General features: G+C 40.5%; 1 protein-coding gene across 8 annotated transcripts, besides 4 other annotated features; it reads right to left on the bottom strand.

The window, feature by feature from the left end:
• Nucleotides 1-49: 49 nt before the first annotated feature.
• On the bottom strand, nt 50-20634 carry GOLGA7 (golgin A7). Of its 8 annotated transcripts, none has more exons than NR_156425.2 (6): nt 20341-20448; nt 20065-20160; nt 13369-13521; nt 5018-5119; nt 3909-3971; nt 50-1446 (listed from the first exon to the last, which is right to left on the bottom strand). NR_156425.2 is itself a non-coding variant. In NM_001362979.1 (6 exons), exons 2-5 carry the CDS (start codon nt 20173-20175, stop codon nt 3924-3926), a joined length of 414 nt encoding a protein of 137 aa, NP_001349908.1. In that variant the 5' UTR covers nt 20176-20197; nt 20464-20634; the 3' UTR covers nt 50-1446; nt 3909-3923. The 8 variants fall into 8 exon arrangements, 5 of the variants coding, with proteins under 5 accessions (NP_001349908.1, NP_001349909.1, NP_001167595.1 ...); NR_156426.2 differs by having other exon boundaries at nt 20413-20448; NM_001362979.1 differs by lacking the exon at nt 20341-20448 and adding an exon at nt 20464-20634 and having other exon boundaries at nt 20065-20197.
• Nucleotides 19818-19927: an enhancer, noted in NCBI's record as "active region_27284". NCBI's record gives its function as "activates an Ori minimal core promoter by ATAC-STARR-seq in GM12878 lymphoblastoid cells {active_cell/tissue: GM12878}" and the evidence as "EXISTENCE:reporter gene assay evidence [ECO:0000049][PMID:35858748]".
• Nucleotides 19978-20087: an enhancer, noted in NCBI's record as "active region_27283". NCBI's record gives its function as "activates an Ori minimal core promoter by ATAC-STARR-seq in GM12878 lymphoblastoid cells {active_cell/tissue: GM12878}" and the evidence as "EXISTENCE:reporter gene assay evidence [ECO:0000049][PMID:35858748]".
• Nucleotides 20378-20507: an enhancer, noted in NCBI's record as "active region_27282". NCBI's record gives its function as "activates an Ori minimal core promoter by ATAC-STARR-seq in GM12878 lymphoblastoid cells {active_cell/tissue: GM12878}" and the evidence as "EXISTENCE:reporter gene assay evidence [ECO:0000049][PMID:35858748]".
• Nucleotides 20558-20817: a silencer, noted in NCBI's record as "silent region_19142". NCBI's record gives its function as "represses an Ori minimal core promoter by ATAC-STARR-seq in GM12878 lymphoblastoid cells {active_cell/tissue: GM12878}" and the evidence as "EXISTENCE:reporter gene assay evidence [ECO:0000049][PMID:35858748]".

Below are 26536 nucleotides of genomic sequence, written 5' to 3'. Positions count from 1 at the left end.
TTTACCATCATTTACTACCAAATCCCACCAAATATGACACAGAGACAACTTGTTTAAGAAAAGTTTTATTAATGTGTTAATATTTCAGCAAAGTTATTGCAACAGGTTGAAAATGCAGACACACTATTACAGGCTGTAAAGTAACAAATGAGTTTTACACAATTAAAATATTAACACATACTTATGGGATTTGTTGAATGACTAACAGACCCATAAAAGAAATTAAATCTGAGACGAAATCCAGTATTAGCACCTACAATATATCTGACAGTGAAACTTTTAATGGTTTCTCTCTCCTAATGTATTTTTAAACTCTCTCCCAAATACAGCGCTCTCAAACCCCAAGGATAAACGAAAGGCATAAGCAGCCCCGATCCTAGGAACGTACAGCCAAAAGCAGAGCTACAAATATGGACTCAGACTTGAGAGTTTTACTGAGAAGTAACTTACTGTACTTGAGCCAATCATAAGATTTCTGTGCACTGAATACTGTATATGAGAAAATTCTGTGGGTCATAAGGTTTGCCTTAGGGATAGTTAAAAATTAGTAATATACAGTATTATTCCTATCAAATTTTTTTCTCATAAGTTATATTTATAACAAAACTATAATTAAAATATTTTTTATACCTGCTTATTCCATATCCAGGGACACAGCGGGAACATTTATGTGTCTGATGGTTTGGCATCCACTTTATTGTGCTTACTGATTTTTGTGATGAACAAGCAGCACGTATCATATCTTTCCAACATTCAAGGTAATGGAACAATGACATAAAATTCTCCAAAGAAATAACTGGAAATTGCATTAAATACTGCTTTAATTAGGCATAATTGCTATAATAAAACAAATAACATTATACATTTTTTTTTCAATAAGCTTCAGTTTGAGGAACTGAATAGTAGAAACAGATCTTAAGATTTGAGTCATGGTAAAACCAGTAATTCTTTGAAATCTGGGAGGTGCAAAACGACAGCCACAGCCAACCCTCACCAAAATCCTGGAGAAAAACATTTTATTAATTTAGGGGAACAAGATAGAACACTGGTGAAGATACGGCTTGTTGAGGTCTAAAGCCACCTGAGAAGCTGGCCCAAGGAATGAAGAGAACCAATGGTATGTACTGGTGGCAGATAACAAGCTTTGCACTGGGCTGACCAACTGTGTTTTATTAAATGGCTTTGAATAAAAAAAAGTGAAGTGCTTCATTGTGTTTTCTCAGAAACTAATCAAAAGATTACAGAGTCCTACACAATTTGGAGACACAAAGTGGATGCTGAGCGACTAGAGGTCACTCCAGGTGTGGAATTTTAGAAAGTGAGTCCTTGGAGTAAATGGCACCGTGGCTCTGGCAGCAGATAGAAAGGAATGATGCTCTGGAGAGGAGGTAGGGACACTCTGCGGTCGGCCAGTGGATACATGAGGGGCCCGGCTGGAAGTGGGATCTGTAATTAGAGGGAGAAGTAAAGGTTTGATAGAGATCCTGAAAATAACTTGTAAAACCATTTTTCTTCCATCAACTGATATCAGCTTATAACATGTGGTCTATGTTCTACTAACCTAGAATTTTATCTACTAAAATATCTTGGTACCATTTGTCTAAATGAGTCTACAGCTCAATAGTCTACAAATCTAAGTCCTATATATTCAGATCTCTGACCAAGCACATCACCATGGAGCCACGCTGCCTTGACTGCTGTCTACTAGCTGTTTGTCCTTGGGCCAGCAACTTAAGTTCTCTCTGCCTCGGCTTCCTCATCTGAAAAACAGGGATAACAATATCTACCTCATAGGGTTGTTGTGATGATTAAAATTAAGCATTTAGAATAGTGCTGGCACAGATGTGCCAACAAACATTAGCTGTTTTTATTATCACTAGTTGTGATGGAATAATCATGTATTCCATTTTATATAAAGATGGCAATCTTAATCCAGAGAGAAAACACCAGTGCATGTAACAATAACAATGTGATAATAAAGATATATGCAAGATATTATAAAAATTAAGCTTAAAGAAAGGCATTTTTGTTTAAAGCTCCTTTTAAAAATAAAGGCCATCCTCATGTTTGTGTAGTCTTTTGTTAAGTCACTAATTCCCACATATTGCTTCAAATTGCAGACACCTTGCAGACTGAAGAAAAATGGAAGAATTGAATAAATTATGCTTAGAGTTTCCTCCCCTTCTCTAAGATCTCAGCTCACATTGCATCCTGGACCTTGGGAACACCCAAATCCCAAAACGAAATTGTGTTGAACAAAAATATCTGCATTCATGAAAGAGGGTATCCAGAAGTTATTAATGTAAATCTTTCCCATTTCAAAATTCTAGTTATTTGAATATTGATAGATTAGCCTCTGGTGTGTAATTGCTCAAACCTCACACATCAGAAAAACACATGATTACACAATAGCTGCAAAATGAGTCATGACAAATGGGCTGTGCCAAGTCATCGCAGCTGCAACTGATATACAAACCATGGCATGGAACAAAAGCCACACAGAAGGTTGCTGGTTGTTTGAGAAGTATCAGTTTGAAAATTGTACATGAGAAAGCGTATGGACAAGTAACACTAAGTATTCCAAAACAAAGCCTTTTTAAGGAAATACAACATATGGCAGAGGATAGATATCATGATTTAGATCTTTGGCTTTCAGGAATTCAGGTGACACATTCACTAGTGCTAAAGAAGGCAGCTCTGGAATGTTGCATGGCTTACAGGATTGAATAAATCATACAGGAGCAGACAAAATGTATTCTTTTTTAAAGTATTGAAAAAGAAGAGAAGGGGATAAACCTCTAGAATTATCTGATGAACTCTTCCCTTTCTCCATGTTCCTGCTGCTGCAAGTACTGAGAGGAAGTACGGTGTAAAAGACAGGGGTTTTATGATCAATCAGACTTGGGTTCATATCCCAATACTCGTTAACTGTGTGACTGTGAGAACATCATTTAATCTATTTGTATCCAAGTTTGCTCATCTATAAAATGGGGAAATACTTTGTAGGGTTCTTGTGAGATTCAGAAGTACCATTTGTACAATACCAGGCACATAGTACGTGCCCTCAAAATGGTAGCTGTTATTGATGTTGCCCTAGGAAGACATGTGTCTGCTTTGGTACATTCTGTGTCTGTGCTGTCTATTAATTAGTGACAGATACCTATAAGCACAGTCAACTAGAAAAGCGCAGCAGCAGAACACTTTCTGTAGGAAGACCACGTAACTAAAATTGGCAGAAATAGTGAAGTGCTACTTCCTGTCACTTAGAAGGCTATGCTAAAGTACTTAGGGCTTCAACGTGACTCTGCCTAGAGATTCTTAGTAGTATTAATTTGTTTCTTACTCATTAAAGGGCAGCATCTGGATATTTAAGGACATTAATACTTTAAACAAAGGAATGAAATTTATGTTTCTACTCAGTAGGTAAGGTTTCTTCCACAGGGGTCTGAAGCCACTTAAACATAATAAATGAAATATTCAGAATCTCCCCACTCCCCTCTGAAATGTTCCTTTGCTTATTAAAGCCATTTGTCATATAGGTAGACATCTCTGAACTCATTCTTATATGCAAAACCCAAGTATTTATATGTCTAGGATAGTTTTGAAATATTAAAACAAGCCAAGTAACTGCCATCCCCCATTCCCCCACCAAAGTAACAACAAAACCAGTCTGAACACAATACAGCAGGAAAAAAAATCAGAATTAAATTCTCTATCACCAAATAGAACTTGGGCCGAATACACATTTTAAATATCAAGCTAATACAGTGACTAGCTTAAGCTAACACAGCAAATATACTGTTATTTAACTGCGTGATTTAATGATTTATTTACCATGCGGGGAAGAATATTCATGCATCCTCTAAACTTGCAAAAGCTGCATACAAGCCATATCATTTCATATTTACCTTTAATTCTTCGGTTTATCTTCCACTGCTCATGCCTCTGTCTTCATAAATGGTAATTTCAATCTAAACAGCATGGCTGTTAAGAAAACACACTACAGGACACAACACACAAAGGGGGACTTGGCAAGGTGGAGGGTGTGATCTGCAGACTTTGCTTTCAGTTTGCTTTATTTTTCAATTATTAAACATTTTTCCTACTTAAGTTTGCTTTCTCCAATTTGCTGAAAATTTTAAGAAATGTAATTATAGTAGTCCACATGTAGTTCCTTCCCAAACACTGATAACTTATGTTTTGAAAACAAAACAAATAAATTCTGAAAACGATGCTTTATTTGTTGAACTAGGGAGTTCTTAACTGAGAATCCATGGAGGTAATGAATTCAGGGATTTAAAAATACCCTGAAATTATATGAAAACTTTTTTCTTGGGAAAGGGTTCATGACCCCTGAAAGTTTAAGAACTATTGTTGCAGAGTATAACAAAACTGCTGAAATTATTATCAGCTGGAAGGCCTGGGATTATGTGACCTAGGTTTTTAAAAAAATTTATTTACCCATTACTCCAGTTATCAAGCTAAATTAGTTTTTTGCAATTTTATTTACCAAATTCACTTAGTGATTTTCAAAGCTTACTGCCTCTAAAAATATGCACAGTATGTCAAAGGTAATGAAATTACACATCTGGCAGCTGTAACTGATTTCAACTAGTCAGATAAACCCATGAAACTGCAATTCATTTGGATGACAAGTCTCACCACACATTATGAGTTTATCCATTTCAAAGGGGCTTCAGGTTCAGGGTTTCTGCAGCTGAAATGCATTACTCAAACCACCCCCATTATTACTACAAGATGCCCTCAGAACCACCAGGAAAGATGGTGACAAGAATAGTAAACAAACCACAGAGACCTGCACCATGCAATGGAAGGAGGGACATGCTTTAAAAAAAAATGTTGGAGACACGGGGTTTACAGTAGGTATGCAATTCACACAGAAACTACCTAGGGCAAATACAGGATGAGAGTTAAATTCTCTCTAGCCAATGCCAAACAATATCAACATTTTCTTGTTATAAATATTTAGACTTTCTGATCCGAACTAAAAAGATACAACTCGCAGTCCTCGCTCAATAGGGTCTGTCAGGAGGAGGCCTTGTGGAGCATAGATCTTCTCATTCTGCTCTTGAATGTATTTGGAGACTTTCTTCAGAACCTGACAGAAAGAAACACCACAGCTTCTTACAAACTTCATCAGATTTCCCTTTAAGTGTTAGTGAGATCTCAAAATAGGCAGTGGGAATTCGTTTTCAAGGCAAGTCACATGGATATTCATATGGTGGAATACAGCTGTGATTACTTGGCTCACATGAGTTGCATATGACATACAGCCAAGTGTGAGGGACTCTTCCAGTCAAAAATATCTTCGACACAATGTAAATAAATGCAAAAGCATACAATGGCACGATGAGAACCAACCCACTCCTCCCTACTTCTCAGTCACCTCAATCCTGCATATGGAGAAACACACAGATGGTTATATACACAATGGCTGCTCAAGCTTCTCTTTTCCTATTCATAAAGTGCTGTTAATGTGACATCTTCTAAAATCAAGGACAGTTCTTGGCCTTGCCTTTTACAAAACTTAAAGGACTGCTTCTCTCCTTTGTACATGTTCATCAATTTAAAGTAATGATATAAGGTGGGCTTATAACAAAAGGTAGCCCCATTATTTCAAAACTAAGAAGTTTATTTCCTTTGTAGAGCATGTGGGCATTAGCTGCCAGGGAGTTTCTGATAAATACAAGTGTCTTATGTCATTTCCATGACTGCATGTAGTGCTATTCTGCAGTTTGCTCATTTCCTAGACAGGAACCTCAATTTATAAGTTTAGTATTAAGCTTGTAAAAGTCAAAGCAAATGTAGACAAAAACCAGATAGGATACAAAGGAACTTCTGGAAATTGCCAAATCTCCAGCTTTAATAAAGGCAATTCTGAGACAGATAAGCTAGAAGAAAATAAATCTTAATAGCTACATCCCAAATCAAAGAGTTACATGTTTTATTTCAGGCTCGAAGTCATCATAACTTTTTTCTGGCTCTAATGTTCAAAAGAGGCTTTGATCCAGTTCTTTAAATTACTATATATTTCCTTAAATTCACACTATTAGCAAATGATAAAGTCACAAATGTGATCACAACTTAAAGGGAAAAAAGAAGTGTATGGAAATAAAGTTGGAAATTAAGCAATGATTTAAGTGTGGCTTATATAACATACAGACCAAACTTAACAAATTAGGATGTCACAATTTAGATGCTTTGGTATAAACTGATTTAGAATTTAAAACTCTACCTGTTTCATATAAAGAATTTTCTAATTGAAGAAAAGTAATTTAAACACTTTATTCAAATATTTTTTGGGGATAAAAAAATCTCATGTTTTATGCTTCTTCAAAAGAGCGTAAGATTATTCAAAGAGCAATCTGCATGGTTCTTACGTAATAAATTAGGAGTATTATTTCTAAATAAAAGATTTGTTTTTTTCATCTAATTACCTGAAGCAATGCATGTATCATTCTCCTATTTTCAGCATTCAAAGAATTTTAGCTGTGCTTGGTCTTTATGAGCAAAAAAACCCCCTTAGGCACTATCTTCACATCAGAGTTTGTCAATCATCCTAAAATAATGAATAGAAGGAAGTAGCCCATAAAGGTGCCCAACTAAGGCCTCTCAATCTTCTAATTTCCTTCTCAGTTCACCTGCAGAATTGGAAACTGGAGACTCAGTCTCCCTTCACTCCAGTCCAGTAATACTAGGGAAGACACTCAGAAAAATGCCTGCATGGCTGGTTTCAAAGAAAGGATTCCTTCAGAACAGCTTTCCGTCTCCTTTCTCCGAGTACAGGTTACGAGCAAAGAAACGGCAACATCATTCTTTTATCTGGTTCAAGCATAACTTTGCTGGGCAAGTTTTTTTTTTGTTTTGTTTTGTTTTTTTTTTTTTTTTATTATACTCTAAGTTTTAGGGTACATGTGCACATTGTGCAGGTTAGTTACATATGTATACATGTGCCATGCTGGTGCGCTGCACCCACTAATGTGTCATCTAGCATTAGGTATATCTCCCAATGCTATCCCTCCCCGCTCCCCCGACCCCACCACAGTCCCCAGAGTGTGATATTCCCCTTCCTGTGTCCATGTGATCTCATTGTTCAATTCCCACCTATGAGTGAGAATATGCCAAGTCAATCCTAAGCCAAAAGAACAAAGCTGGAGGCATCACACTACCTGACTTCAAACTATACTACAAGGCTACAGTAACCAAAACAGCATGGTACTGGTACCAAAACAGAGATATAGATCAATGGAACAGAACAGAGCCCTCAGAAATAATGCCGCATATCTACAACTATCTGATCTTTGACAAACCTGAGAAAAACAAGCAATGGGGAAAGGATTCCCTATTTAATAAATGGTGCTGGGAAAACTGGCTAGCCATATGTAGAAAGCTGAAACTGGATCCCTTCCTTACACCTTATACAAAAATCAATTCAAGATGGATTAAAGATTTAAACGTTAAACCTAAAACCATAAAAACCCTAGAAGAAAACCTAGGCATTACCATTCAGGACATAGGCGTGGGCAAGGACTTCATGTCCAAAACACCAAAAGCAATGGCAACAAAAGCCAAAATTGACAAATGGGATCTAATTAAACTAAAGAGCTTCTGCACAGCAAAAGAAACTACCATCAGAGTGAACAGGCAACCTACAACATGGGAGAAAATTTTCGCAACCTACTCATCTGACAAAGGGCTAATATCCAGAATCTACAATGAACTCAAACAAATTTACAAGAAAAAAACAAACAACCCCATCAAAAAGTGGGCGAAGGACATGAACAGACACTTTTTTTTTTTTTATAAACTTTAGTAACATTGATATGCACTTGGGTATCAGTTCAGAAAGAAAACAATTAGTTTTCCTTTTTGTATAAGCTCTAAATATTCTTATACTATTGTGGTGAAGGCAACACTGTCCTTAACAAGATGCTTTAAAACTTAGTCTCAAAATAAAAATAAAATAAAAATTAAAACAAACGATAAAACTCTTAAAGTCTCTTTAATAGCAGAAGAGCATTAATATGTGTAAACTCATACCACAATCTCAGAAAGGACAAAGCGCCATTCTCACCCCCAAGAAATCATATGTTGACATTTTATTCACACTTTATTATTTTTGGTAAATCAATGTCAAAGCAAACCATAATATTTAACAAAGTTATCTGCTACTTTCAAATCCTCAACAAAACTTCAATTTGTATAATATTTACAAAGTGAAACACAATCAAACCTTGGAAAAACTACTGTCCTCCCTGAGGATATTCAACTGGAGAAAGCCTTCCAGACCTTCAAGAAAAATGGCCTGATTGAGGCTAAGTAACACCACATCTTACTGTTTTCAGAACATACCCAAGTTCTCTCCTGTGTTCCTTCTAGAGATTACAGCACATAGGCAGAAGGGATGTTTTCTAGTTCATGAACAAGGCAGAGAGATACTGAAAGGGGAACCTTCCACGAGCCCATTTGTCCCCTAATTATCATGGGTAGCAACAATAGAGAAATAACACTGAAGTCTTTATCTTCATTTTAAATCAATAAATAGCACATTATAGGGAAAAATGCATGATTGTTCTAGTGAGTTTTAAAAGGCCTATTTACAATTTCAAAAAATTTAACACACATGACAAAGTATAAGCACTGTTATATTTGGCTTACTGTTTGTAGACTAGGAATTTCGGTGTTTAAAACAATAGAGACTAAATGACTCAACCTCATCCTTTTGTAAGTAGAAAATAATAGCACAAAAATTCCTCAGAGACAAACTGGGAAAGGGAGAGGGCAGCTGTGCTTACATTTTAATCATTTTATCAAAACACAAATGCACACTTCTATTAAAAGTATAGGTATATCATATCTTAACTATCATCATTCCAGTTATTAATTCTGCACAATCTAATTATCCATGTTCAGTTTCTACAAAATATCACCTATTTTTAAAATGTGGCCATGCCTTAAATTTGGTTTCTGGATTAATTTTATTTGGTCTTTATTTGCTTTGTAACATTTGCTCTATAAAAAGAAAGGGGCCTTGCTTAGACCTATAAAATAGGACCTTACACAATGTCTACAAATCCAAGCTAAAACATATACTGGGATCAACCAATTTCCATTGTATTTCTGGTATTTAGGACCATCTTCCAAGATTTAATAATTGGAAGGTTTTTAATTGAGAGCTGCTAAGTGTTTTCAGCACCCAAATAAACTAGCGGCTGGCTAAAAGATTACTTATACTTGAAAATAAAAAATCATATGTGAGTTCACAAATATCTGATTAAAACTTACATAGGTAACTTCATTTAAAATCTATCTTGGCTGGGCACAGTGGCTCATGCCTGTAGCCCTAGCACTTTGGGAGGCCGAGACGGGAGGATCGCTTGAGGCCAGGAGTGCAAGACCAGCCTAGCCAACATAGTGAGACCCCATCTCTAGTTTTTTTTAAAAAAGTAAGTAATAAAGGCTGAGTGCTGGGTGCAGTGACTCACACCTGTAATCCTAGAACTTTGGGAGGCCAATGCAGGTGGATTACTTGAGGCCAGGAGTTTGAGACCAGCCTGGTCAATATGGTGAAACTTCATCTCTACTGGCACAAGAATCACTTGAACCCAGGAGGTGGAGGTTGCAGTGAGCCGGGATCGCACCACTGCATTCCAGCCCGGGTGACAGAGCAAGACTCTGTCTCAATTAAAAAAAAAAAAAATCGACCTCAAGAAAACACTGTTTATTAAGCACTAACCACATGTAAGGAAAATTATTAATTCTAATATACATTTTATAGTTGAGAGAATTCAGAGAGATTAATTTGTCCAAGATCTCATAATTAGTATAAACTGACTAGCACCCAATTACCAATTTCTTTTTACAAATGACATCAGTACTTCTATTTCAGCAAATACACTTTGACAAATACAATTAAAATTTTATCAACAAATGTAATAACAACTCAAGCCTTTTAATACTTCACTAAGCATGAATAAAATACTCAAGAGATGTGCTTCTACCTTAAATTAGCAATATTATGGACTTCTGTAAATAGTCATTCCAGATGATAAAGTTTCTACCTATGTGAATTCAGCTTTACCCTCCCCTCCTACATTCATACCAACTATCAACATATCCCTTGGAGCTGGTCACCTCTTTGCACCTCCCCTGCTCCCTTCCTAATCCAGGCTATCTCACTCTTGCCTGGACTTCTGTGGAGCTTCCTGACTAGTTTCCCTACTTCTATTCTTATGCCTTTTTTCCACAAAGCAAAGAGATCTCTTTAAAATGAAAATCTTGCTGGGCGCAGCGGCTCAGGCCTTTAATCCCAATACTCTGAGAGGCTGAGGTGAGAGGATCGCTTGAGCCCAGGAGTTCGAGACCAGCGTGGACAACACAGTGAGACCCTGTCTCTATTACAAAAATAAATAAAATGAAAATCTCATCACATCACTCTCTTGATTAAATCCTTTGAGTAGCTTCCCACTTGCACTAAAAATAAAATCTACACTTCATTCCATGGACTAGGCACTCCATGTTACAGCTCCTGCTTACCTCTCCAAATCCACCTCCCATCATTCTCTGCCCCTCCTCTCCTGTGCATCACCTTCTCTCAGTTCCCAAGGTCCATCAAGCTCTCTGGGCCTTTGTGTATGTTCATCTTTCTGCCTTAATGCCCCAGGCTTTTCATCCTTCATGCAACAGCTTAAATGTCACCACCTCAGAGGCCTCTTCTGACCACACACCCTAGATTAGGTCCCGCTTATTATTTTCAAGCATAGGCCAGTTTGTTTCCTTCAAGGCACTTATCATAATGTGTAATTTTGCTGGCTTTGTTTCCTTGTTATTATCAGCTTTCACCACTTAATTATAAACTCCACAAGGTCAGCAACCATGTTCGCCCTGTTCCGTTATGTCCCAGCACTTTGCTTAGCACATAGTAGGCTTTCAATAGTTACTGAGCAAACAAATCCCCTGAGCCTTCACTCACTGAACGTATTATTAGAGAGGAGATACACTGAAACAGACTGAAAGCTGACATAGAGCCTTGATAACTTCTGATTTTGAAAGTTTAAACAGGAATGAAAGCTTCTCTGTGTATTGATATGGAAGGGAAGAGCACGGTCCCTTTAAATCATACAGAAGCAGGCAGGGAAGTGCTGGGTAGAGAAGGGCATGGTCCCTGGCTAGCGCTCCACCTCCAGGCCTGTGCCCAGTAGTGAAGACAGACATTTTTGTTTTCCTGCCCAAATGCTGCATTTCCACCCTGGCCTGCCACACCCCTATCCTGTGCCTATAAAAGCCCTGAGACCCCAGCAGGCAGACAAACAGGTGGCTGGATGTCAAGAGGTGCACATTAGTGGAGGAACACACAGGGTGGCTGGATGTCAAGAGGAACACACTGGCGTAGGAGCACACTGGCACACCGGTAGGCCATCAATTGGCAGAATCAGGTGGAGTTTGGCCAGGGTGGTTGGAGAAGAGTTCGGTCATCGAGCGGCCTGACTCCAGGGGAAAACTATCTCCCTTCTGGCTCCCCCATCTGCTGAGAGCTACTTCCACTCAACAAAACCTTGCACTCATTCTCCAAGCCCACATGTGATCCGATTCTTCTGGTACACCAAGGCAAGAACTCTGGGATACAGAAAGCCCTCTGCCCTTGTGATAAGGCAGGGGTCTAATTGAGCTAACACAAGCCGCCTATGGATGGCTAAACTAAAAGAGCACCCTGTAACATATGCCCACTGGGGCTTCAGGAGCTGTAAAACATTCACCCCTAGACACTGCTGTGGGGTTGGAGCCCCACAGCCTGCCCATCTGTATGCTCTCCTAGAGGTTTGAGCAGCAGGGTACTGAAGAAGCAAGCCACACCCCATCACACGCCCTGCGAGGGGGACAAGAGAACTTTTCCTGTTTCAACATGGGGAAGGATATAAATAACTATACTTAAATATACCTGTTTATATGAGATGGAACAGGATGGTAATGAAGAATACAACAGCATTTTCAGCCAACAGCTCCAAAAACTTTAGCTGCAACTATATGCACTCTCCACTACATGGAGTGTAAGACATTTCTATCAGATGGGTCATAATATATTCTTATAGCATTTCGTTTTCTAAGCACTGTCAGAATTTAGTGATATACCAGGGGCTTACCATGATTAATTTACAGTCATTTATTTAACATACATTCAATGAGTGCCTGATATACCCAAAGCATGGTGTTAGGCATGAAGAGGGATACAAAATGGTTAAGGCATTGTCCTCAAGAAAAGTACATACTTGAAAGGCAAATAAGACAAGAAAATAAACTGCTACATTCCAAAGAAGAGTGAGGCAAGTGCCAGAAAACAGATACAAATAAAATGTTGTAGGGACACAAGAGAAGAGAAAGAATTCTGACTAAAACAGAGAACAAGTTAGATGGAAGTGAGACCTAAGGGACTGGTGGGATTTGAACCTGGGAAGATAGCATTCCAGGTGGAGGAGAACCACAGTGGGTATGTTTGCTGACCAGTGAGGGATGGAGTTTGGCTGAGGGAGAAAGTGAAGGAAGGAATGGGAGGTAGCGCTGGAAAGGTAAGCTGAGGTCAACTTGAGCAGGGCCTTGAATTTTACTCAGTGGTAAAACATGGGAATCCAGGGAAGGTCTCCGACTTGGCAGAAGTAGTAGGGGAAGTAAATCTGCGCTTTATAAAAACAACAGCAGATAGTTTAGAAAAGCAAAAGGAGGGAAGAAATGAGACAAGTCAGACTATTTCAATAGTCTAGGAGAGACAGAATAAGGGCATAACCCAGGATAGTGGCAGAGGAAATCACAAAAAGTTAATGACTGGGAAAATGAAAGATACTTCAGTCTTTGAAAACAGATTAATTTTTCCCTCTTCTTCATCCCTCATGCCCAAAGATGGTACTGAAAAGACAGGGGTGCTATTGACAAAATGGGGAGGTGGGAGGTTTGACTTCTGGTCATCTTAAGTTGAGAAATCAGCAATTCGGGAGCTAGTAGGCAGCTGGAAAGAGAAAGTAAGAACTCAGGTGGGAGAAGAGAGTGAAATTTAGGGAAATAAAGTAAAAACATTCCCAGAAAGCTGAGTAGGAAGAGAACATATAGATTTTCTACATTCTTCTTAAGTGTAGGCCAGTCTGAACATTGACACATCATCTGCAAGTGGACATACCAACTGCAACCTGTTTTGAAAGACTCAGGACTATGTGCCTCTGTACACAGGAACAACACAATTTGAATGATAAATGCCCCTAAATATTTTACGGCAACTATCACCATGTAAGCATCAATGTGTAATAAACTTGCCTTCTTCATGATTTTAAGAGATTTTTGTGAAAACAAATGTAGCATTACCTTCTCATAATGAGTTTCCATGCATAGGAAGATGGTATATGCTGTTAAACAAGCCAAACAACCTTCGAGATATGACTGGCCGCCGAGCTTCTCTGCTTCTGCATAAAGGTTATTTAGAGTTCGAACTGTTTCTTCAAACTGCTGCCTATCAATCTGTAGAGAAGAAAATATTTAAAAATTAAGTTTTGGAAAAAAAAAATCAACTAATGCATGCTATCATTAATTTATCTTGTTTTCTCACCATTCTTAGTTGACAATTTTTTTGGTGACTAAATCTGGGCCTAAGTTACCAAAACTGCTTAATTTGTTTAATTTTATCCCTCTTATAAATACTGGATAGCTTCAAGGCTCAATAAGGTACTTCTTTATTCTTTCTACTAAATTTCAAGTAACTTTAGGCTCTATTCCTCTTTCCATTCATTTAGTTTCACACTTACTGAGCGCCTACTATCAGATACTATGAAAAATCTCAAGATAAAGCACTGTCTCAATCCTTAAGAGTTTAATTATGCAAGCAGAACAGGCAATGTAAACATAAAAATGCAGTAAGCTGGCCAGGTGCGGTGGCTCATGCCTGTAATCCCAGCACTTTGGGAGGCTGAGGTGGGCGGATCACGAGGTCAGGAGATGGAGACCATCCTGGCTAACATGGTGAAACCCCGTCTCTACTAAAAATACCAAAAAAAATTAGCCGGGCATGGTGGCGGGTGCCTATAGCCCCAGCTACTGGGGAGGCTGAGGCAGGAGAATGGCGTGAACCCGGGAGGTGGAGCTTGCAGTGAGCCGAGACTGCGCCACTGCACTCCAGCCTGGGTGACAGAGCGAGACTCCGTCTCAAAAAAAAAAAAAAAAAAAAAGCAATAAACTGACAGGGTACTATCATATAGGCAAATATAAAGCCTAGTGGGGACACAAAAGCAAGGAGAAATTCCCTTTATCTGGGAAGGGCAGGTAATCTTAAATTGAGTAACTAAAGACTGGAATTTACTAGGCAAAAAAAAAAAAAATGGCATTTTAGCAGAAGGATCAAAAGGCGTAGGTTCTATATTCTGTTTACTCAGCCTATCTCTTTTGAAGCAATTATCTTGTTACTAAATAAGGTAAAATTTGTTAAGGTAAAATCTCAAGCTAATAAACAATTTTTCACATTAAGTCATTCTTATTACCTCTTTCTATTTGGTGACACCATTATCTTAAATTTACACTAATACTACCACAGGTTGAGCATCCCTGATCTTAAATTCTGAAGTCAGAAAGGCTCCAAAATCTGAAACTTTTGAGCACTGACATGATACCACAAGTGGGAAATTCCAAACCCGACCTCATGTGAGGGGTCACAGTCAAAATGCAGGCGCACAACACATAGTTTATTCAGTGTCCCCAAGAGAAAAAGACCCTTCCAGCCCCCATCAGCTGCCATGTATCTTTTCCATGCACAGCCAGATTCTCCCATGCAAGCGTGCTCACAAAGGGTGATAAGATGGTTCAGTGTACACACACTTTGTCTCATAAAGTCATTTAAAATATTGTATAAAATTACCTTCAGGTTATATGTATAAGGTGGATATAAAACATAATGAATTTCGTGTTTAGACTTGGATCCCATTCCCAAGATATCTCATTAGTATAAACAAATATTTCAAAATCTAAAAAAACCCCAAAAACTGAAATACTTCTGGTTCCACATATTTCACATAAGAAAGAACCTGTACTGTCATCCATTGTTTCACTCAATCATCTGCTTTTACTTTATTCTTCCAATATTACTTTACTGTCTTCTAATAGTACTTTGTATAACAGATTTCAAATTTTGCTACTTCATCCCAGGACTTTCAAGGCCCATTAGGAGAGCAATCATCCAATACTGCCATTCTTATCTGTCTGCACTCTAGGCCTTCTCTCGCATAAGGATTCCCTTATTTCTAAAATTAATAACTACTTACGTATGAATTCTCTCTTTTATGAAGTCCTTATTTAAAAGACTTTTTTGTTTGGCTTTTTTTTTTTCTCCTTTCCTGTCTCTGTGAACCTATTAAATCTTTCTTTATAATAGAAACCGACTCAGAAAAAAAAAAATCAGGCTGGCGTGGTGGCTCATTCCTGTAATCCCAGCACTTGGGAAGTTGAGCTGGGTGGATCACTTGAGCTCAGGAGTTTGAGACCAGCCTGGGCAACATGGTGAAACTCTGTCTCTACTAAAAATGCAAAAATTAGCCAGGCGTGGTGGTGCATGCCTATAGTCCTAGCTACTCAGGAGGCTGAGGTGGGAGGATTGCTGGAGCCTGGGAAGTGGAGGTTGCAGTGAACTGAGATCTCACCACTGCACTCCAGTCTGGGTGACAGAGTGAGACCCTGTCTCAAAAAAAGAAAGAAAGAAAAAAAACCCTCAACATACAGTATGAGCCCTACTATTCACTATTCCCAAGAATGTAATCTTTTTTTTTTTTTTTTTTTTTTTTGAGACAGAGTCTCACTCTGTCACCCTGGCTGGAGTGCAGTGGCGCAATCTTGGCTCACTGTAACCTCTGGTCCCAGGATCAAGTGATTCTCGTGTCTCAGCCTCCCGAGTAGCTGGGATTACAGGCGTGCACCACCATTCCCTACTAATTTTTGTATTTTTAGTAGAGACGAGGTTTTGCCATGTTGCCAGGCTGGTCTCAGGCTCCTAGCCTCATGTGATCCACCCCCCTGGCCTCCCAAAGAGCCACCTGCACCTGGCCTCAAGAACATAATCTTTTAAAGTGTAAAACAATTCATGACCATCCTTAAGCTATGACAACTCTTTAAGTTAGAAGCAGTTGTAGTCATTGTTTTGTCCGTTGTGTGGAAAATGTGAGGAGTCAATGGGCTAGTGGCATGCATGAATTTAATGCAAACTTTAAAGTGGTGTTGGCTCTACCCATTTTTCAAAAGGAGTTACTTTAAATTTCCAGGAATATTAGAGATTTGGACAAAGGCTAGGTGGGTCAAGACGGCCTTTAAACGCAGGGGCAGTGTTTCTTCACTGAGCTACCCCTTGTAGATGTGGTGTCAAGGCTGGTCATCTGGGAAACTGTGAGTTCTCATTCACGAAAACAGACTGAGGAGAGCTCAGCAAACAAAAATGGTAAGCTGTTACGTTCACCTAATTATGCCTACGTTAATGCCTTCAGTTTGTCCACCGATAAGTCTACAAAAGTCTAAATAATTCCAATCACATTTGATGTGCCTATGTTATAAGTCATTGAATTATTTATATTTCTTTACAATACAATTCAAAACCATGGGATTCAACCCAGAAACATCTTATTTCTTTCATATCAGAATTACTGTTTATCCCGGAAACCCTAATTATTATTATTTTTTAAGTTTAGTGACAGAGTATCGCTATGTTGCCCAGACTGGTCTTGAACTCCTGGCCCCAAGGGATACTCCTACCTCAACCCCCAGAGCAGCTGGGATTACTTGGGTGCAAACCACCATGCCCAGCCAGAAACACTTAATTCTTATGCGTTATTCCGAGATTACAATGCCCTATAGGTTAGAGGTAAATCATACGTCAGTTAAACAAACAAACAAAAAAAGGTTAATAAAAAAAGAAAAAGAAAGGATAAATGGTTAAAGAAAAGTAAATGCCAACAAGTTTTTGAAAGGTTATTTTAAAAAAGGGAAATAAAGGGTAAAAATCACAGAAGGCATCAATAAAGGCAAACGACAAACTTCACAAGAAAGGGCTCAAGAGAACAAATGTTGGCATTTGTATCTTACTACCTTTAGGCTATGAATAACAGTGGCCAGTGTTCTCCCTTAGGTTCCTGGACACTGATACAGGAGCTCTATCAAAATTTAGATATATGAGAAGTCACAGCCAAATAAAATTTGGACCCACAAACATCAAAAATCAGAATGGAAAGAGAAATCAGGCTTATTTTCCCAGAATTACTGTGAACTACACAGTAGAAAGCATGGTGAAGCATGCAGTGATCACGTATCAAGGGTGGCAGGTCAAAGGTAATTACTAACCAGATGGGGAGACATATTTTTAAAGGGAAAAAATGCCTCAATTACAGTTCACTCATTCTTCTACCCAGACCAAGGGTAACTAAGATATCTGTATTTTAAGGCTAATGAGAATAAAGTTTCCTTTAAGGAATTGTTCTGGCAACAAATCGCTTAAGCATCAAAGTATTACATTCTAAAAGGCAGCAGAGAAAATGAACTTGTTAACAGACAGAACCTATCCTACTCCCAAATTAAAGGGCACAAATGTGTGTGTATTTTTAAAAAATGCTTTAAAATAATACAAAACACTTGCATATTAGTCACTTTCTCTATTATGTTGCCAAGTGTGATGTTCTCACAAAAGGAAAATCAGCTCCAATAGCAGAGCAATCAGTAAAATTTCTAGGGTAAGTAGTAGAGAAACAGAAACCTTTCAATTTTTCATCAAAGCAAGGAAAGTTTAAACCTGTAATTTAAATTTAATCTCAACACACATACACAGACAATCAAAGCTTTTCTAGTGGTTTAAAGCATAAGCTAGTGTTTTAACCCAAACATTTAAAAAGAAAAAAGAAATTCAAAGGCACAATTGAAGAGTGCCATGTAACATTCCATATAGTACTCAGTACCACAAGCAGTTCTGGGCTATACAGAGTCAAAGAGGTAAAAGGACTCCAGAATTTAGAAACATCAATTTCCTGACAAGAATCAGTGGAGCACAGTAACTACATTGTGCTTTTGCACTTAGATTACAAAATAAAGGCTCTGCCACACACAGAGTGGAAGGCTAATGTCTGATTCTGTGTATACACATTTAGCTCAAATATATGAGGTGTAAGTGTTGCTTTAAAACCTTAAAGCAAAGGAATCTTTAATGTCCAAATAATTGTGGTAAAAAAAGAATACTTTATATTCTGATTTTGAAGTACATAAATTGTATGTCATAGTTTCCGTAAGAGGCTTAAAAATAAAACATTTGATTGATTCCATGTATATCTTTTTATTTGATTTATTTTTTGAGACAAGAGTCTTGCTCTGTCGCCCAGGCTGGAGTACAATGGCATGATCTCGGCTCACTGCAACCTCCGCCTCCCAGGTTCAAGAAATTCTTCTACTTCAGCCTCCTGAGTAGCGGGGATTACAGGTGCCCGCCACCATGCCTGACTAATTTTTGTATTTTTAGTAGAGATGGGGTTTCACCATGTTGGCCAAGCTGGTCTTGAATTCCCGACCTCAAGTGATGCACCCGCCACGGCCTCCCAGAGTGCTGGGATTACAGGCGTGAGCCACCGGGCCCAGCCAGATTCCATGTCAATCTTAACATGTAAAACACATCAATTGTGATGTTAAATTATTTTAAAACAACATTCAGTAGCTCTACCCAACTGGCCACTTGCTGAATTTCTACCTCTTCAAACCACTGTAGATAGTTCCACCTATTGTCACGCTCAGTTAACTCATAACATAGTTGACAACATACTGCAGCATTTAAATGGCATTTCAGAAACAAGTCACCTCACCATCTTTTAAAGGCATATTTGATCCATTTGCAATTCAAGAAACATATTTGGGCCATGAAGCTGCCCATGGTTATGTCAAACTGAAGGAAACTATAATGGATCATTGTTGATTTCCCAACCATGGAAATCGGGCAGTGCAACCCACCTCACTGCAAACTGACTGTAAATAACTGCTACACATTTCTCTACACAGACTCATCCACACCCACTTATCCCATGACCAGCATCTCTCAGTCCCACACCCAAGGAATGCCTAATCACCTCTCAGGCCCTCGTCCTCCCTGTCACAGAGGAGAGAGCCACAAAACCTGCTTCCAGCTAACCAGAAATTGATCCCTGAACGGGAAACACAATCTACATAACATGGGTCAAGACCAAAAGAATCTTTGGTTGAATGTACATATGTGGGCACACAAAAACACAGGCAGGCACGCACACACTCCATTACCTCTACAACAAGATACAATGATTTTTTTTTTTTTTTTAAAGTTTTGCTAGGTCTGAAGGGGAAGCAAATCCCATTCTTCCATTTTTGCCTGCAATGTTGCCCAAAGGACCTATATCCTGATGACCATTTTGATATGCAAGACAAAACAGGTGGCTCCCAGTGAATGTGACAAGTTTAAGGCCTTGTTCTGAGACATTTTCCTGTCCAGGCCTATCTAACGCCCGACGTCTTTAAGGTTCCAAGAAAGCCTGAACGCACCGCCTGGCCATGCACCTAATAAACCCTTTCAGCCAAACAGTGCGGCCAGCACAGAGGCAGCAAACACCAGTCACGAGAATGATGATGATTTATCTTGCGCGGAGAGGTAGGAGGATATAGTTTACAACCTGGTGACTGAGACGACCTGGAGCCTCAGGAATTGGCTCCTCATCGCTGCCGACAATAACCCGGGGTGGGGATTTGGGGGAGTGCAGCAGGGGAACACTGCTGGATCCAGATTCCCGGCACCGGGCAACAAAGTTCCATAAGGTCGTCAACCCCGGCGATCGGCCTATATTATTCTTCCTGCTCCAAACACCTGTCTTGCTTAGTGGCTCTCTTCTTACACGTTTGGCCAAGGCCCCTTCTGTGCCTGGACCTCCCCAGAACTGCGGGACCCTCAAAGGCCCGGTTGTCGCCCACACCCTTCCCGTCCCCGGTGAGTCTCTCTCCCTCGCCAGAGCAGGCGTGGGGAGCCAGGTTGCGTACCCGGTTCTCCAGCTCCGCAGGGAACTTGGTCTGGAACTGGCAGCGTGTGCCACTGCTGTAGTCTCGCTGAATGAACACCTTTCCGGACACCGGCGCCTGCTGCGGCCTCATGGCGAGGACAGGACACCCCGCGCTGCGGGGTCGGGGGAACACCAACCGCGAGTCAGAGCCCCGGCCTGGACCCGGGACTCTGACCCGCCAGCCCCTCGCCCCCACCCGCCGCCGAAAACAGCCCAAGGCCTCCTCTGCCCCGCTCCCCTTCACCCATGCTGTCACCGCGGGCCTTAGCTGCCGCCTGGCCCAGGCCCCGCGCCCCCCACAACCCGGTTCGGCCCGGGAAACACAAACCCGCCTCCTCTGCCCTCCAGCTGCTGTCGCACCGCCTTCGCCGTCACTTACGTCCTGCCGCAAAAAGCCTCTTCCCCGCCCCTCAGCTCGGCCTCCTACCTCAGGTCTGGGACCCACCCTCTCCTCCGGCCGTAAAGCCACCCTGCCGAAGCTGCGCGCTGTGGGGCTGGGCCGAGGAAGGGAAATGATGTGGGCGGGGCCAGGGCCGACCCCGCCTTCCGCCCGCGCGGGGATTGTTTCCGGAAGGAGAGAGGCGGGGCGAGCTGTGGGGCTGCGGCCGGGGCGAGCTGTGGGGCTGCGGCCGGCGCGAGCGCGCGGGGGTGTGAGGGGCGGAGTTTCCCGGCTGTGTCACTTCCCTAGTGATTGTGGCAGGTGGTTCCCGATCACTGATTGTGAGGGGTCATTTTCGTTCTTGATTGGACGTCGCAGCTTACGTGTGGGTTATGCCACCCAACTCATACACAAAACAAAAAACAAAACATAAAGAAAAAACAACACCCCCTCCCCAAACCCTCAAACACAAACTGCTCATTGTGTTCAGAAGTAGAAAGCAGGCTCCAAGGATGGATCCATTTGGTCCCTAGACTCTTGAGAAAGGGTCAGGAAGTGAGGACGAAGAACCTGCCTGGGCCCCAGCGTTGGGCGCCCCTGCCCCGACTCTTCTTTGGGGGCGGCGTTCCTCTCACCCCCCATTTCCACCCAGCTCCCATCCACATCCCTCAGGTGACCAAGGGGACAAGTGGTTCCGCCCTCGTTGCCCACTGGCCCTTACTTGACTCAGCATTTCTTTGCAAGGCAGCCAAAGAAACCCCACCTTACCCTTGTCTCCTGCTAATACAACCTGTTAGTACCACTGTCTTTTATATATTTAATATAGTTTAAATATCCTGCCTTTTAAATATGAAAAATTCTCTTACTGTATTTTAAAAACAGCTTTTTCGAGATATAAATGGCATACAATAAACCACACATTTAAAGCAGTGGATTTGATAACTTTGGACATATGAATACACCCATAAACCACTGTCACAATCAAGATAGTAAAGCTCCATTGCCCTGAAAAGGTTCCTCCAGCTCCTGTGTAATCTCTCCCTCCTGCCTCTCCCAGACCCCATTTCCCAGGCACTGATCCACCTTCTGTCACTCAACATTAGTTTCATTTCCTTGAATTTTATATAAATTGAATCATATAGTGTGTACCCCCTTTTTTTGCCTGGCTTCTTTCACATAGACTATTTTGAAGTCCATCTGTTGTTGTGTTATCAATAATTCATTTATTTTTGATGCTGGATAGCTATTCCATTGTATGGCCATCCCACAGTTTGTTTATCCATTCATCTGTTGATGGACATTTGGATTGCTTCCAGTTTTGGGATGTTACAAATAAAGCTGCTATGGACATTCATTTGCAAGTCTTTGCATAGGTGTGTAGACCTTAATGCTTTCATTTCTCTTGGGTACATACCTAGGAGTAGAATGGCTAGATTGTACGGTAAAAACACGTTTAACTTTTTGGCAGACTGACAAACTGTTTTCCAAAGTGGTGACACCATTTTGCATTCCCACCAGAGTTCCAGTTGCTCCACATCTTTGCCAAGACTTGGGTAGTAATATCTTCTGCAGCTATAATTTTCATTTTTCCATGACTAATTATTTTGAACATATTTTCCTGTACTTATTTGCCATCCATGTATCTTCTCTGGTGAAGTGTCTATTTAAAACTTTTGCCCATTTTTTTGTTTGTATTTTATTTTCCTGTTGTTGAGGGGTTTTTTGTTTTATTTTGTTTTGATTTACATCTTTATTGGCTGGGCTTAAGGTCAGTTTTAAATTTTTAAGGCACTTTAATTCTTGGATTTTTGTATGTTTAAAGATGTTTTCCTGAGGCCTTTATACTTGCGTGAGAACTTGGCCGGGCTGTTTTTGAGTTTTGAGTTCTTTATACATTCTGGAGAAAAATCCTTTATCAGATATGTGATTTGCATGCATTTTTCACAGTCTGTGATTTGTCTTTTTACTCTCTTAACACGTTAGGGGTTTGAGGGGATTAGGGTGTGGACCTCTTGGGGAGGGCATTTCTGCCTCCCATAGGTATAGAGTGAAACTCTTCCCTCCCCCCGTATGATTATGCAGTTGTTATTCAGTTGTTTACGTACCATTTGTTGAAAAGACTCTCATTTCTTCACTGAATTGCCTTTGTATCTCTGTTGAAAATCAGTGGGGGCCGGGCGCGGTGGCTCACGCCTGTAATCCCAGCACTTTGAGAGGCCGAGGCGGGCGGATCACGAGGTCAGGAGATCGAGATCATTCTGGCTAACACGGTGAAACCCCGTGTCTACTAAAAATACAAAAAATGAGCCGGGCGCCGTGGCGGGCGCCTATAAGTCCCAGCTACTCGAGAGGCTGAGGCAGGAGAATGGGGTGAACTCGGGAGGCGGAGCTTGCAGTGAGCGGAGATAGTGCCACTGCACTCCGGCCTGGGCTAAAGAGCGAGACTCTGTCTCAAAAAAAAAAAAAAAAAAAAAAAGAAAAAGAAAATCAGTGGTGTGTGTGTGTGTGTGTGTGTCTGTCTGTCTGTCCCTCTGTCTGCCTGTTTTGGACTTTCTATTCCGTTTCATGATCTGATCCTGTTTTGAATTAAATGTCTACTAGTGTTTGTCTCCGAAGTTGATGCTTCCTTACTAACTCAGTAAGATCTCCTAGGAGCTGGTTTTCTACATATTTGTTACTAGGGGTTGAGAACACCCTTAAACAGGTAAAACAGTCTCTACCCTCAAAATTTCAGTCTAATGGAGTGAACGAAGAAAACAATTTTCATACATTGTATATTTGGAGTATTTTCCTGCAGCCCTTGGCCACTGAGACTAGGTGGTAAAACAGACTATTATTATTATTTTTTGAGATGGATCTCACTCTGTCGCCCAGGCTGGAGTTCAGTGGCACGATCTCGGCTCACCACAACCTCCGCCTCCTGGGTTCAAGCCATTCTCCTGCCTCAGCCTCCCGAGTAGCTGGAATTACAGGTGCGTGCCACCACACCCAGCTAATTTTTGTATTTTTTTGCGTAGAGACGGGGTTTCACCGTGTTGTCTAGGCTGGTCTTGAACTCCTGACCTCGTGATCCACCCGCCTCGGCCTCCCAAAGTGCTGGGATTACAGGCGTGAGCCACTGCACCCAGCAAACAGATTATTTTTGAATGAGGAAATTTGAGGGCAAATATAACCCAAGGAAAACCCTCTTCATGTTTGGGAAGAGGATCGATCCCAGGTGAAAGAGGAATCAAAGGACGATGAGCTGTATTGTTATCGTCTTCCCTCATCCCTAAACACACTCATGTGTCTAGATTCTAGTTTTGCCATTAAAAGTAAAACAGCAATTACTTTTGTACCAACCAAATAGCTTCTGGCAGTTACCAGCAATCCTTGGAATTCCTTGGCTTATGACAGCATAACTGCAATTTCTGCCTCCATCTTCCCATGGCCTTCTTCCCTGTATCTTCTCTGTGTCTTGAAATATTTCTCTCCTTATAAAGAGCACTATTCATTGGCTTTAGGGCCCACCTAATCCTGTCTGACCATCTTAACCTGATTACATCTGTAAAGACCCTATTTGCAAATAAGGATCTGGGGTTCCCGACTGACATGGATTTTGGGGGACACTATTAAATCTAGTACATCTACCTTGTAGAGGGTGTCAATGTGATATTGTATGTAAAACACTTAGAATGTGTTTGGCACATAACAAATACTGTATGGTACTCTGTTTTTTTTTTAAATTATTACATCATTAGTGACATAGTCAAATGATTTGCTAACATTAACATCATGATAGCAGCAGCTACTATTCATTGGGCTATTAGTGTTAAGGAACTAGGTTGAGCGGTTTATATGCATTACCTCATATAATCTCTACTATATCTATTAATCTAGTAACCCTGGCCAAACAATGATAATACTATATAATACAGATATGATCTATAATCTATGAGCTCACTAGCCCTACACTATTATTTTATTCCTTTCTATGTTTTCAACAATCCTCTGATATTTTAAGGAGCTGAAGTCAAGCTATTAGTCTACAGTATTGACAATTCATTCTTCCTTTTTGAATTTTGAGTCCCTTGTCTATGTTTAGCTTCTTTGAAGCCTACATATTATCTATTTTATTCCTCTGTCCATAATAGATTCTCATGAAATGCTTTGAAAATGAATTCATTCAACAAATATTTGTCGACACTCATAAGGGCTGGTGATGAAAGGATAAAAAAAGTGTGGATTATTTATGTCCTGTGGAAATTCACATTCTTATGGGTGGCCAGGAGGGTGGGAGGAGGGAGATTATAACAGGTTAAAAAACTTTGGGGAAGGGGAGGGGTTTTAACAGAAGGAGAGATAATTGGGCATTCCAGCCTCTCTGTCCAGGGAATGATAAGTATTCATACCTGAAATAAGTAGGATCTGAAGTCTGCTTGGGTGAGGGTCAGGTGGGAGTAGGGATGAGAGATCTTTAATAGAGAAGAGAGATGGTGATAAAAATCTTATATCCTTTTACACACCCCTCTATCGTTTCTTCTCCAAGGTGAATGAACCAGCTTCCTTTATCTTCGATGGTAGGATCTCTATTCCAAAGTTTCTGTCTTTTTGTATGACTCTCAGAACCTTCTGGTGTTTCAAACTAGATACTCTGATAAGAGCGTTAACCTGTGCTGAATATTATCAGTGAAATCCTTTTGTCCCTCCATTTTCAACTCTGTTTTTTTTTCTCTATTGGAACAAAGCTAGCTTTTCAATGCGGGGTCCCATTCTGTATCACCAACTCATGTTCAACTTTTGACCCATCCTGGATCATTTTCGGCCCTGCTTACAAACAGCTTCCCACGCTGCAGATGGCGTCTTCTCTTCAGCTACGATCTCTCCTGGGCTTTGTTCTATTTGTGTCCAACCACTTCCTCCCAGGTCCTTCATAAAGATCTCAATTGGATTGAAAGACGTCCTTATACTAAAGAAATTTTAAACTGTCCTCCTTGGCCATGCTCACGTTGCTCACCGAAGCCATCCCCGTTTCGTCTAACATCGTTTTTTTTGTAGTAGTTGTTTTCTTCTAAAGCTTTGAGGCATGACTGGGGTGGGGGCAGATCAAATCCATTTTCCTCGTTTTCAGTTCTAGTGTCTACCATGCACTGGTACAATGGGCAGAACTCCAAGGATCATTGTCTCTTTGTTTTCATGCATTTGCTGGTAATTTCAAGTCAGCTTCCGTTTTATAAGCTTGTATGTCTTTATTGCATTTTGAGAGAACATTATTGGCATACCTGAATTGACAGCATCTGTTCCTTCCATTTAAATTTCACCATCTAAAACAACGTGTGTCCCAGTTTCAGGAAACAGGCTGAACAGATGCCAGACAGTTGTACTGAATGCTCTCTCCATGAAAGAGCTGCTCTTGCTTACATTTTTGTTTATTTCATTGTGAGGGAGAAGAGCAGATTGAATGATGTCATTAATAAGGGTCCTTTGCCTTTATTGTTTAGGATCCTATTGAAGACCTCTCATATCTGAAGTGGCTGGTGGATAAGAGGGTTTGGAGATTTCAGACTCTTTTCACCAGCACAGTGTAGAATTGCAGAGCTGGAAGCAAGGGTGGTGTCACGGGTGTGTGACTTGTATAGTTGCATAGGGATCTGCACTGAGAAGAGCTCTCTTCTTGGCTTAATGTCCTGCTGTCATCATCTTGAAATTCGTAATACTTTCTGAACATGGGAGTCTGCACTTTAATTTTGCACTGGGCCTCAAAAATCATATAGCTAGTTGTGGATGGAAGAAATATGAGGGCATCTAGTGGGAACACACCATCATTATCTGGGATAGATGATTAACTGTCCATATCTTCTGTGGAACCTGATTTGACGGCAGTTTTGACAAAAGTAAAAAGAAAAACAGGCTGGGTGCGGTGGCTCACGCCTGTAATCCCAGCACTTTGGGGGGCCGAGGCAAGCAGATCACGAAGTCAGGAGTCGGAGACCAGCCTGGCCAACATGGTGAAACCTCGTCTCTACTAAAAATACAAAAATTAGCCCGAGGTAGTGGCATGCCCCTGTAATCCCAGCTACTCGGGAGGCTGAGG

Source organism: Homo sapiens, chromosome 8 (genome assembly GCF_000001405.40).
Source record: "Homo sapiens chromosome 8, GRCh38.p14 Primary Assembly".
Classification (NCBI taxonomy): domain Eukaryota; kingdom Metazoa; phylum Chordata; class Mammalia; order Primates; family Hominidae; genus Homo; species Homo sapiens.
Note: the sequence above shows the minus strand (reverse complement) of the source record. Positions and strands in the feature narration are given on the sequence as shown.

Bases quoted from the DNA above. Each gene is read 5' to 3' on its own strand.
- GOLGA7 (NM_001362979.1), bottom strand. From the start codon at position 20,175: ATGAGGCCGCAGCAGGCGCCGGTGTCCGGAAAGGTGTTCATTCAGCGA. The intron at 13,522-20,064 runs GTACGCAACCTG...TCTTCTCTACAG, and splicing joins CTGCGGAGCTGGAGAACCGG to ATTGATAGGCAGCAGTTTGA. The intron at 3,972-5,017 runs GTATCTTTTTAG...CATGCTGTTTAG, and splicing joins TTGAGCGAGGACTGCGAGTT to ATTGAAATTACCATTTATGA.